The sequence below is a fragment of the Homo sapiens genome, chromosome 17, assembly GCF_000001405.40.
Source record: "Homo sapiens chromosome 17, GRCh38.p14 Primary Assembly".
Taxonomy (NCBI): Eukaryota; Metazoa; Chordata; class Mammalia; order Primates; family Hominidae; genus Homo; species Homo sapiens.
This window is the reverse complement of record NC_000017.11, coordinates 22,346,391-22,360,418: the sequence shown is the minus strand read 5'-3', so window position 1 is coordinate 22,360,418 and position 14,028 is coordinate 22,346,391.

The window sequence follows — 14,028 nt, the reverse complement described above, 5'->3', positions numbered from 1 at the left end:
GTGCATTTTTTAAGTTAAAGTATTTATTGAGCATCTACTGTATATCATGTGCTGAGATAGGCAACAGTGGTGCAGGGAACATATGGCAGAGTCTCTGACCTCAGGTAACTTTCACTCTCATACATATGTATTAGGACACCAACACATGTGTGAATATAAGATAGTATGATAGACATTGCAACAGATAATTATTTACTGTAAACCTATTTTATAGGATTTTAAACTTAAAGTACTTTCACTCTATTTCCAAAAAAGTATTGCATAACTTTAAATGGATTCTTAGTTTGAAATCATCATACAAACTGCAGTAGCATCTGCTGGTGAAATACTGCTTTGTATCTATTAGAATAGTCCAAACAACTGGGAGAGAACTGCATTATTAGAGCTGTAAAAGTTATTGTCTAGAAATCTCAGAAAAAAAGAGGAAGTTCTATGGTAGATGAATAAGATGACATCTAAACTGTTCTCTTAAGCTACTGAAGTTCTGTGGATATCTCACAGCACAAAGTTCAAGTGTATGCCCACAACTCCTCATGCCACAAGATGTGACACCTTTCCAAACTCTTTTTGCAAAAGTTTCCAATTATGTCTCTTATAAAGGTACTTTTTATACCCACATATTCCGGATTTTGTAGTGCACACAAATACAAGATGGGAAGGAGCTTCCATTTGTTGATGCCAGCTGCTCCATGGACCAGGCCCTGCCCATGCATCCCTGTTGGTTCTTTTATCCCCACATCAGCCGTAGCCCATAGGCATTAACCTCCATTGTACAGACGAAGAAATTGAAAATCTAAGAGAATATGCAATCAACCCAGAGTCATGCAGCTTGTGTATGTGAGGGTTGGAATGAAAATCCAATCTGTGTGAGTCTCAAGTCCCCTTCCACCATATAGTTTCCATTTCATTTTGCAATCACCTTGGCTGGGATATGTCTGCCCTAAAAGATAGTAAGTAGGAATACTTGTCTCTATACCTTAACCTAACATCCATGGGCTTGCTTTTTGTATTTGGAGGTGTCATAACATTATAATAATAATTTGATTTTATTTTAATAGTGAATATTATACTACTCAGTCTAGAGATTTATGACATCCCAGTCTAAACTGGATGACAGCAATGAAGCTTCTTCAAGGAGACAAGTATGAGTAATAAGGTAGAAATAAGTTGAATTTCTATGGAGTTGCTACTTCTGAATTTAAAGCTAGCTGAGGTTAAGTAGATATTCAAAAAGATCGCTATAATCTTCACTTGAATAATATAAACATTTATTATTTTTTACATATTTATTTATTTATGGAACATAGATGTAATTTTAAAACAGAATTTTTGCAAATTGTATTAAAATATATTAAAAACATAACACATTATGACCCAACAGAGTTTCTCAAAGTAACTCAGTGTTAGTTTAAAATGTGAAATTCAATCGATATAATTCACCATAGAATACAGTGTGTATGTCAGTATAATATATATCAAAATTGGAAAGAAGCAAATTTATCTTTGTTTTTTAATAAGATGAAATTACAATTTTAATGAATTTCAACTTTCATTTTAGATTCTGGAGGGTACCTGTGCAGGTTTATTACATGGGTGTATTGTGTGATGCTGAGATTTGGGGTATGAATGAAGGAGTGAGTGCCTGTCTTGAACTTGCACCTAGATCAACCTCCCCTGATCAGCAGAGGGTAAACTAACTTGAATTACACTTGAATTTTTTAGGAGAGCAGGTCACAAAGGGCAAATTGTGGTCCAGAGACAAAAGTGCTCGATGGTCTAAAATGAGCTTGCCATATCACTGAGGGTACAGGTCTTCACACAAATATATTTCAGAAAGGGGTCAAACCCTTGTTTAAAGATAAATGTAAGCTGGGTGTGGAGGCACACGTCTATAATTCCAGCTACTCAGGAGGCTGAGACAGGTGAATCCCTTGAGTTCAGGAGTTTAAGACCAGGCTGAACAACACAGGAAGATCCCATTTCAATTTTTAAAAATGAGAAAAAAATAGATAAACTTAAGCATATTAAATTTTTAAAGAGTTTATTTGAGCAAACAGAGATTCATGGATCAGGCAGCTCCAAACTGAAAGTGGTTGGAGGATCTACTGGAGGTGTTTGTAGGGAAGGCTTTTATAGGGTGAATATAGAAGTAGAGTAGAGAAATTATTTGATTGGCAAAAATTTGGGCAGTTGCATTATTTGAAGTATCCTGGTGGTAGGTCTCTCATTACACAGCTAATACTCAGCGGGCCACTTGTTGATGGGCTAAGCTTTTCATTTTGCCTATGTAGGAACCCAGGCCATGGGAACTATCTCAGCCTAATGCTCTCCCATTAAGTTATTTTACAGCTTCTCTCTGTATCAGGGTAAGTGGGGGTCTTCCCCACAAGTGTTCTTACCACCCTGTTTCCCTCAGCAAAATGAAACTGTCCCTTTTGCCTCTGTAGGCAATCTTCTGAACAAGGCTTTCCTAATATCTTATATCATCTTATTTTATCTCATCCTTTTCTCTGTACCTTGTTTACACGCTTCTGGAACACTTGTGTATCTTGCAACCATCCCCTGCATTATTTAGGCAATCCCAAGAGAAGACCTCTAGGATGGATTGGTAGAGAACTGCTGGCATATTGAGCTCTCTCTCTTTGTATCTGGAACTTTCATAATTACCTTAGTTCTCCATGCCAATTGTGCAATTATCTTTGTCCTCCACTTCAAAATACATTTACCTCTGACAGAAGCTGAGTACATAAAAGGGACCTTGTCCAGTGGTACTTATGAGGCAGGAGACGTAATATATTTAAAATTATAAACTAAAAGCTTTCTGACACCAAAAGCATAAGTAACAAAACAAAAAAATAAGTAAATTGGACTTCATCAAAATTTAAAACTTTTGTGCAATCAGAGGACAACCGGCAGAATGGAAGAAAATATTTTAAATAATATCTTTGATAAGGGACCAATATCCAGAATATATAAAGAACTCCTACAACTCAGCAATAAATAAACAACCCAATTAAAAAATAGGCAAAGGACTTACATAGAAATTTTCCCAAAAAAGATATACAACTGGCCATCAAGCCCATGAAAGATGCTCAACATCACTGATTACTAAGGAAAAGCAAATCAAAACCATAATAAGATAGCACTTCATACCCATTAAGATGGCAATCATCAAAAAACCAGGGAATAATAAGTGTTGGTGAGGATGTAGCCAAATCGAAACTCTTGTGCATTACCGGTGGACTCTACAGTGGTATAGTCATGGTGGAAAAGAGTACAGCAGTTCCTAAATTTTAAAAAAATGGAACATAGGCTGGGCTCAGTGGCTCATGCCTGTAATCCCAGCACTTTAGGACAACGAGGTGGCCAGATCACGAGGTCAGGAGTTCAAGATCAGCCTGACCAACATGGTGAAACCCCATCTCAACTAAAAATACAAAAATTAGCTGGGTGTGGTGCTGTGTGCCTATAATCCCAGCTACTCAGGAGGCTGAGGCAGCAGAATCCCTTGAACCTGGGAGGTGGGGGGTCGCAGTGAGCTGAGATCACACGACTGCACTCCAGCCTGGGTGACAGAGCCAGACTCCATCTCAAATAAATAAATAAATAAATAAATAAATAAATAAATAAATAAAAATGAAACATAGAATTACCATATGAGTCAGCAAGTCCACTTCTGGGTTTAAACCCACAAGAATTGAAAGCAGGGACTTCAACAGATATTTGCAAATTCATGTGCATAGTAACATTATTCATGATAGCCAAAAGGTGGAAGCATTCATTGACAGAGGAATGGATAAACAAAATGTGGTACAGATATACAGTGGAATATTACTTAGCATTAAAAAGGGACATTTGGACGCATGCTACAGCATGGATGGATTTTGACATAATGCTAAGTGAAAGAAGCTGGATACAAAAAACTAATACTGCCTGATTCCACTTATATGAGGTATGTAGCATGTAATATTCATAGAAACCAAAAGTAGAATGAAGGTTCCCAGTTAATGGGAAAAGAGATTAAGGAAGGGCTATTGTTTAAAGAATGCAGAGTTTCAGTTTGGGAAACTGAAAAAGAAAAACTTCTAGAGATGATGGATGGTGGTGATGGTTGTACAATCAGGTGACTGTATTTAGTGACACTGAACTATGCACTTAAAAATGGTTAAAATGGCAAATTTTATGCTATGTATATTTTGCCAAAATAAAAATTACAAACTTTTTTAAAATTAAAAGCTTTAGAATAATTAATTAAAATAAAAGTAATTAAATCTATTTTAAAGTTAAAGCTAAAATGAATTCCCCTTCAATCCCAATAACTATGTGCCAAAAGTGCTACTTCTGCTCTAATCATTCTACCTACTGTGAATATCCATGTGCGACTTTTGGCTAGTTCATAAAATAAACTTGAATGGGCATTAATTTTTTCTAATTCTCTTTATCCACAAGCTATATTCTACATCCTACAACTTGCAGACCACACCTGATACAGATGAATCATTTTTCTGCTCCCTCTCGCAATTCCGTCTGGTATCTGTGATTTGTATACGCCCTCCTGCTGCTCTAGGTCCAATCTCTGTGCAGTTGGATGTCTTGATATTGGTAACTCTTGACCTGGGTAAGCAAGAAACACTGTGAAATTGATGTTTTCTCTTTGAAGTTGACCCTGAAATAGGAGAATCTTTGGGTGGTCCATTCACGTCCATTCATTCCTGTTAGCAATGTTAACAAATATTTTCTGGCTTAGGACATTAAAGAAGGAGAATTTTATTTTTTTAATTTTATTTATTCATTTTTCATTATTATTTTTTTGAGACGGAGTCTCTCTGTCCCCCAGGCTGGAGTGCAGTTGTGCAATCTTGGCTCACTGCAACCTCTGCCTCCCAGGTTCAAGCGATTCTCCTGCCTCAGCCTCCCAAGTAGCTGGGATTACAGATGCATGCCACCACGCCCGGCTAATGTTTTGTATTTTTAGTACAGATGGGGTTTCACCGTGTTAGCCACAATGGTCTCAATCTCCTGATCTCGTGATCCGCCCGCCTCGGCCTCCCAAAGTGCTGGGATTACAGATGTGAGTCACCGTGCCCGGCCTAAAGAAACAGAATTTTATTAATTTATCAGCTGAGTTTGCATTACAGCAGCTTACAAAGCATTTGCCACTGTTTGAGGTTGCAGTGAGGACAACGTGAAACATCTGATGAAAAACTTTCACAAAACCTGGTCTCTTTCCAACAGCTTAGCTATGTGAGAATAGCTTTTACAACATGACAACCCTAAAAATAAAACCATTTTAAAGTTAAAGCTGTCCTTCCAGTTGCCGTTTCAAATTTTATCCCAAGAACTGAGGTGCCATTCAGTAAAATGCAATTACAGGCTTCTCAGCAGTAAGGCTAAGTACTTGTTTTATGTTTTCTGGTGATGAATTTACTTCTTGTCTTTGAGTTTGCAATGACAACTATAAAAGTGATTGTCAATAGTATTAGTATAATTTAATTTCTAATAGAATGAGTTTTCCAAGTATGTGTTAGTCAGAGCTATGATATTCCTAATAATAGCAGAACTTATTTTGTGCTCTGTAATGATGATATTAGTGATCTGTTTTCTCAGCAATATTTTACAGTGCTTCAGACTATTAATACACTCATCTGTGTTTTTGGCTGGGTGCCGTGGCTCACGCCTGTAATCCCAGCATTTTCAGAGCCTGAGACCGGTGGATCACTCAAGCTCAGGTGTTTGAGACAAGCCTGAGCAACATTGTGAAACCCCCTCTTTACTAAAAATACAAAAATTAGCTGGGCATGGTGGCGGGTGCCTGTAATCCCAGCTACTTGGGAGGCTGAGGCAGGAGAATCATTTGAACCTGGGAGGCAGAGGTTGCAGTGAGCTGAGATCGCACCATTGCACTTCAGCCTGGGCAACAAGAGGGAAACTTCATCTCAAAGGAAAGATAAAGAGCAAATAGTAAGATCGGGCATGGTGGCTCATGCCTGTAATCCTAGCACTTTGGGAGGCTGAGGTGGGCTGATCACCTGAGGTCGGGATTTGGAGACCAGCCTGACATACATGGAGGAAACCTGTCTCTACTAAAAATACAAAATTAGCCAGGCTTGTTGGTGCATGCCTGTAATCCCAACTACCTGAGAGGATGAGGTAGGAGAATCGCTTGAACCCAGGAGGTGGAGGTTGCAGTGAGCCAAGATCATGCCATTGCACTCCAGCCTGGGCAACAAGAGTGAAACTACGTCCAAAATAAAATGAAATAAAATAAATAAAAAATAAATAAATAAAATAAAGAGTGGATAGTATTCCTTTATGTGTGTGTGTGTGTGTGTACATATATCACATTTTCTTTATCCATTCATCCAATGCTGGCCTCCTACGTTGCTTCCATATCTTAGCTATTATGAATAATGCTGCAGTGAATATGGTAGTGCAGTTATCTTTTCAGTTTGCTGATTTCAATTCCTTTAGCTATACAACCACAGGAGGGATTGCTGGAACATACAGTAATTCTATTTTTAGTTTCTGATGAATCTCCATATTATTTTCCATAATGGCTGTATTAATTTACATTGGGAAATGTAATTACTTTTGATGCTGTTGGGAATGGACTGGCTTATTCAATAAACCGTGTTAGGTACATTAACTAATAGTGTGTAGGAGTTAAATTTACTGAATTTTTTACATTAAGGTATAGTTAAAGCAGACTGAATAATTAAATGTAAAAATGATCTGGAGAAAACATTTTGTTTTGTTTTGTTTTGTTTTGTTTTTTTGAGATGGAGTCTCACTCTGTCATCCAGGCTGGAGTGTAGTGGGGCGATCTCGACTGACTGCAACCTCACTCTCCCAGGTTCAAGTGATACTCCTGCCTCAGCCTCCTGAGTAGCTAGGATTACAGGCATGTGCCACCACACTTGAATAATCATATGTGTTTTAAAATAGGAATAGATATTCTAAGCTAAACTGAAGGGAAATGCTAAGGAAAGAGTGAGATTTGACTTGATGATTATGTGTCTAAATGAATCAGCCAATTAATAAAATGAAAACAGGTCGGGGACAGTGGTACATGCCAGTCATCCCAGCACTTTGGGAGGCCAAGGTGGGCAGATCACTTGAGTCCAAGAGTTTGAGACCAGCCTGAGCAACATATCAAAACCCCATCTCTACAAAAAATACAAAAATTAGCCAGGTGCGGTGGCTCATGCCTGTAGTCCCTGCTACTTGGGAGGCTGAAGTAGGAGGATCACCTGAGCCTGGAGATGTAGAGGCTGCAGTGAGCTGTGATCTTGCTACTGCACATCCAGCTTGGGCGACAGAGTAAGACCCTGTCCCAAAGAACCTAAACTAAAATGAAATGAAAACAAACACAAGATAAAAATTGATGGACTTATTTTAACACATAGCATGATGAACACACATAGATAACAATACTAACCCAATGGGTTTTTGTCAATCAAACTCATGGTCACTAGTCTAAAGGAAACAGGAATAATGACCATAAATTCACAACCATTTACAACATTAGAAATACAAATTATCATCAGATATATCAGACTCACAATTATTTGACCTTTAAAGAATTCATCCTGCTCTCCATAATGAATAAGAAAATATTGGTAACTCTTTTTTCCCTTAACTTAGCCCTTTGTGCTCCTGAATCTCTGAATTTGTGTTTGCATCTTAACACTCTTTTTTTGTAATTCTTTTCTGCAGCTTTTTTCTCTTCACTTGAGACATCTCCTATATTCTCTTTACACTTTTCCACAAATGACTCAATTTTTTTCATAAGCTTCATTGATGAGTTCCATGTATGTGATGATAGTGTAATGATAAATTATCCATGTGGCGTCCCTCCAGTCTTGTTCATTATTCAAGTGACTCTCCTTGGTTTAGCAACAGGTTAAGAGGTATCTATGACATTTTGTTCAGGTTAAGCAGAAAGAAGAAAACAAAATCTACATTCTCTTTTTCATATTTTAAACACAGCCAACAAATAATTTGGAAGGACCCATGATTAGACAGAGAGGATTTTATGCCCCTTCAAGAGTAATTGAGATTCTTTAATTGTATGGGGGAATGAGCATATCTCAAGGGGAAGGGAGAAGATATAATATTTGGATGACAGAATCATTAAGTGGCTTTGCACCCTGGCTACAACACTGCACCCAGGAAATATTAGGGTGCAGTGGTGCATGCCTGTAATCCCAGCACTTTAGGGGGCTGAGGTGGGTGGATCACCTGAGGTCAGGAGTTCAAGACCAGCCTGACAAACATGGTGAAACCCCATCTCTACTAAATAAAAAAAATTAGCTGGGTGTGGTGGCACATGCCTCTAATCCCAGCTACTTGGGAGGCTGAGGCAGGAGAATCACTTGAACTTGGGAGGCGGAGGTTGCAGTGAGCTGAGATCATGCCATTGCACACCAGCCTGGGCAACAAGAGCGAAACTCTGTCCCCCCCCCCAAAAAAAAAGAAAGAAAGAAAAATCACTGCCCCATCAACTTTTTCACATAGGATGATTAAGGATTCCAGAGCCCATGCTACCTCTAGGGGCTCCTACCCCTGCCACACCACACATATATCTTGACAGGGCCTGTTACAGAGAAGAAAAGGCCCAGTAAATTAATATCACAATCATCACCACATACCCACCAAAAGACTCAAATTAAAATTTTGACAAAATTAAATGTCAAGAAGAATGCAAAGATTTGGGAATTATCAGACATTGTAAGACTGACAGTTGGTGTGTTAACATTGGGATGAAACCAATAATACCTGGTAAAACTGACGATATGTTTACCCTGTAACCTATGGTTTCACCTCTTGCTTTATACTGTACATAAATACACACTAATGGTAACCAAATAGAAATACAAACATGTTCACAACAGCATCATTTGTAACTGACAAAAATGAACACAACCCACATGTCCACCAACAATGAAGGGATACACACTGGTGTACGGTATTTTTACTTATTTTTTTTATATTTATTTTATGTATATAAATATAAATTTATATATATATTTTTGAGACAGCGTCTTGCTTAGTCACCCAGGTTGGAGTGCAGTGGTGCGATCTCGGCTCACTGTAACCTCTGCTTCCCGGGTTCAAGCAATTCTCCTGTCTCAGCCTCCCGAGTAGCTGGGATTACAGGCATACGCCGCCACTCCCAGTAAATTTTTGTATTTCTAGTAGAGAGGGGGTTTACCCTTGTTGGTAAGGGTGGTCTCAAACTCCTGTCCTGAGGTGATGCACCTGTCTCAGACTCCCAAAGTGCTGGGATTACAGGTGGGAGCCACTGGGCCTGGGCTTTTTTTTTTTTTTGAGACTGTCACTCTATTGCCCAGGTTGGAGTACAGGGCACAATCTTGGCTCACTGCAACCTCCACTACCTCCCAGGTTCAACTGATTCTCCTGCCTCAGCCTCTCGAATAATTGGGATTACAGGTGCACACCACCACACCTGGCTAATTTTTTTTTTAACAGAATCTCGTTCTGTCACCGAGGCTGGAGTGCAGTGGCTCAAACTTGGCTCACTGCAACCTCTGCCTCCCAGATTCAAGTGATTCTTCAGCCTCAGCCTCCCGAGTAGCTGAGACTATAGGCGTGTGCCACCACACCCAGCTAATTTTTTGTATTTTTAGTAGAGATGTGGTTTCGCCATGTTTGCCAGGATTGTCTCCATCTCCTGACCGTGTGATCCACCTGCCTTGGCCTCCCAAAGTGCTGAGATTACAGTCATTAGCCACAATGTGGCCTAATTTTTGTAGTTTTATTAGAGACGGAGTTTCACCATGTTGGCTAGGGTGGTCTGGAACTCCTTACCTCAAGTGATCTGCCTGCCTTGGCCTCCCAAAGTGCTGGGATTATAGGCATGAGCCATCATGCCTGGCTGGTGTACTGTTTTAATAGAATGCAGAAACAATGCTCACTGTGAATCTTAAATACTTAATATTGAGTAAAAGGGGCCAAATGCACGAGGATACAGACTTTTACTCCAATTATGTAAGAGAAAAACCAGGCAAAATCAGACTTTAATTTAGGCATATAAAAATGCATAATAAGGCCAGGCACTGAGGTCAGGAGTTTGAAACCAGCCTGACCAACATGCAAAACTCCATCTCTACTACAAATACAAAAATTAGCCAGGCATGGTGGCACATGGCCCATGCCTGTAATCCCAGCTACTTGGGAGGTTGAGGCATGAGAATCACTTGAATACAGGAGGCAGAGGTTGCAGTGAGTCAAGATCATGCCACTACTCTCCAGCCTGGGAGACAGAGTGAGGCTCCATCTCCAAAAAAAAAAAAGAAAGAAAATACATAATAAAATTATAAAGAGAACCAAGGAGAGGATGGCAGATACCCACAGGTAATGTGGATATCTGTTGTATCTGTTACTAATAAGGGGAAGGAAGACTTTAGGATCAGTTAGGGGCATACAGAGGACTTCTCAGTGGTGATAGTGCTCTATTTCTTCACCTGGATAGGTATCACATAGATGTTTCTTTAATAACTGATGTATCCATATCTTTGTTTGTATATTTTAAAATAAGAATGAAATAGAGGAAAGGAAGGTGAATGGAAAGATATTTCTCCATTCATCAAAATTTTAAAGTCATGTTTTTCTTCAGGTTCTTCTCCAAGCTCAGTCTGAAATGGTGAAAGCAGCCAAGTGCGGTGGCTCATGCCTGCAATCTCAGCATTTTGGGAGGCCAAGGTGGACGAATCACCTGAGGTCAGGAGTTCAGACCAGCCTGGCCAACATGGTAAAACCCTGTCTCTACTAAAAATACAAAAATTAGCTGGGTGTGGTGGCGGGCACCTATAATCCCAGCTACTCGGGAGGCTACAGCGAGCTGAGATCACACCACTTCATACAAAAGAGTGGAACTCTGTCTCAAAACAAAACAACAACAACAATGACAAAAGGAAACAGGAAAACATCCTCAATAATAGAGGACTTATTAAACTAGGGTGCAGCCACTCATACTTTGTCTTGATTTGTAGATTAAGAAAACAATGACCCTCCCTAGGTACTGATTTAGACTGACATTTCTGTGAAAATAGAGAAATACTTATATATGCATAGAACACATATATGTATTTAAAATTGTATATGACTATGACACATACATACATATTTGTGTGTATGGCAACTGCAACCTTGTACATGAAAATAACTTCTGTGTTCAGCCCTAAAAAAGTACAAGATCTTTCCATTTGCCACAACATGGATGAAACTGGAGGGCATTATACCAAGTGAAGTTGGCCAAACACAGAAAGAAAAATATTGCATGACCTTACTTATATGTGGAATGTTAAAATGATTTTCACATATAAAGGAATAGAAGGCTGGAAGTGGTGGCTCACACCTGTAATTTCAGCTCTTTGGGAGGCTGAGGCGGGAAGATTATGAGGTCAGTTGTTCAAGTTCAGCCTGGCTAACACAGTGAAACTCCGACTCTACTAAAAATACAAAAAATTAGCCAGGCGTGGTGGCACGTGCCTGTAATCCCAGCTACTCAGGAGGCTGAGGCAGGAGAATCTCTTGAATCAATAAGGCAGAGGTTGCAGTGAGCCGAGATCATGCCACTGCACTCCAGCCTGGGCAACAGAGCAAGACTCTGCCTCAAAAAAAAAAAAAAAAAAAGATAAAAAAAAAATTATGAAAGTATGCACAACAGAATTAAAATGCTGACTCAAAAGTGAGCACTGAATGACTGGGGTGCATGAGAGAAAAGATTACTTAACATTTTTATACCTATTGAATTGTATCCTATGTATGCATTATAAATTTAAATGTGCAATAATGCAGATAACTGAAATGTGGGTATGCATGGACTAGGACTTTGCATTTCCCATTTGCTCAAATTTCTCATGATTCTAGATACATATGAATAGAAACACAAAATGTAAGGAGACACAGGACTTCTGATAGCCCTTTCTCCTTTCCACATTTTGAGTCTCTGGCTGTAGTTTACCATATGAGTCCATATGGCTAATGAGCAAAATATTTTTCAGATGGATACCTGTGACCAAGCATTGCAAGTTAAAGATATTTCTGAATCTTGGATCTCTTATTTACAATGAAGCCCGGCCATGCATAATAAAGCAGACAGGAACGTAAAAGATTGCTGCATCGATAATCAATTTCTGGTGAGCAATAATTATAGGTAATATAAAATGAGACAATTATTGCTTTTCATCATATCTTGAAAGAAATTCTATAGTCAATGATTTTGAAAAAAACATCTAAGTTCCCTCTTTTCTTTTCTATAATGAAAAGACATTATCCAGTAGAAGTTCGAGAGTAAAATCTGAAGGCAGCTTATCTGACCTGGCCACATGGTCTTGCCACTTATTAAACATAACTTTCTACACACTAACCTCTCCAGACCTCAGATCTTCAACTCTCTAAAATGGAAACCTAGTAGTATTTACCTCTAGAACTGCAGCTGAACTGAGCATTTTAGGGAAGGAACAAACACACACACAATATATATAGTCAGATTATGAACCCAGTGTAGCCCAGAATGCAAAAATTTCTCAGTACTAGAGATTCTCAAGAGAAAAAATAAGATGTAGCCTAACTCAGTGGCCTTTCATGTGGCAAATGAAAAGTGAAAGTCCTTAATGAGAAAGGCATGGGCAGCCAGTGACACCATTCAATGTAGACTCTCAACATCTCTGACAGTCATTACCTGTTGTACCCCGACCTGCTTATATATTGGGGTGGTATCACCTTTTGGTCGAAACATGCATAAACCTTAAGCCTCAGTTAGAAATATTTATGGACAACCAGATAGTCTGTGTTTCCAGTCAAAACTTAGGTAGACCACATTTTATGTGACAGGAGAAGGCACAGTTGGTGTCCAGTTAACCCTGAGATCATCTCTGCCTGCAGCTTCCTATCGTCATAGCAAGCTCTTTCCCTGAAGTCCATCATCTGTATCTACCCTTTGTTATATAGGCAGCAAAAACAAGCATCTGAAAAGATGCTCAACACCATATGTCACTAGAGAATTCAAATTAAAACAATGATGAGATACCACTACACATCTATTAGACTGGCTCAAATCCAAATGCTGACACCACCAAATGCTGGTGAGGATGTGGAGCTACAGGAACTCTCATTGATTGTTGCCACAAATGCAAAGTGGTACAGCCACTGTGGAAGGCAGTTTTGCAAATTCCTGCAAAACTAAACATAGGCTTACCATACGATCTGGCAATTGCATTCTTTGGTATATACCCAAATGACTTGAAAACTTATATTCACTCAAATCCTGCACATTAATGTTTACAACAAATTGACAAAGATTGGAAGTAACCAAGATATCCTACAATAGAGAAATGGATAAACTAACTCTGAAACATTCATACAATGGAATATTCTTCAGGAATAAAAAGAAATGAACTACCAAGGCATGAAAAGACATGGAGGAATCTTAAACACGTATTTCTAAGTGAAAGAAGCCAATACAAAAAGGCCACATAGTGTAGAGTTCCAATTATATGGAATACTAGAAAAGGCAAAACTAGGCAGATGCTATTATAAAAAGTTCAGTGGTGGCCAGGGGCTTGAGTGGAGGGAAGGATGAATAGGTGGAACACAGAAGATTTTTAGGGCAGTGAAACTTTTCTGTGTGACCCTATAATGGTGAATATATGTCCTTAAGCATTTGTCAAAGACCATAAATGGTAGAACGCAAAGAGTGAATCTTAATATAAGCCATGAACTTAATAATATCAATATTGGCTCATCAGACATAACAAATGTACCACATTAACAAGATGATAATAGAGAAAGTGTGTGTACTATAGTATGAGGCGGATATTAGAGCTCAGTATGCCTTCTGCTCTATTTTTCTGTACACCTACAACTGTTCTAAAAATTAAGTCAATTATTTATTTATTTATTATTTATTTATTTTTTGAGATGGAGTCTCACTCTGTCACCCAGGCTGGAGTGCAATGGCGTGATCTCAGCTCATGGCAACCTCTGCCTCCTGGGTTCAAG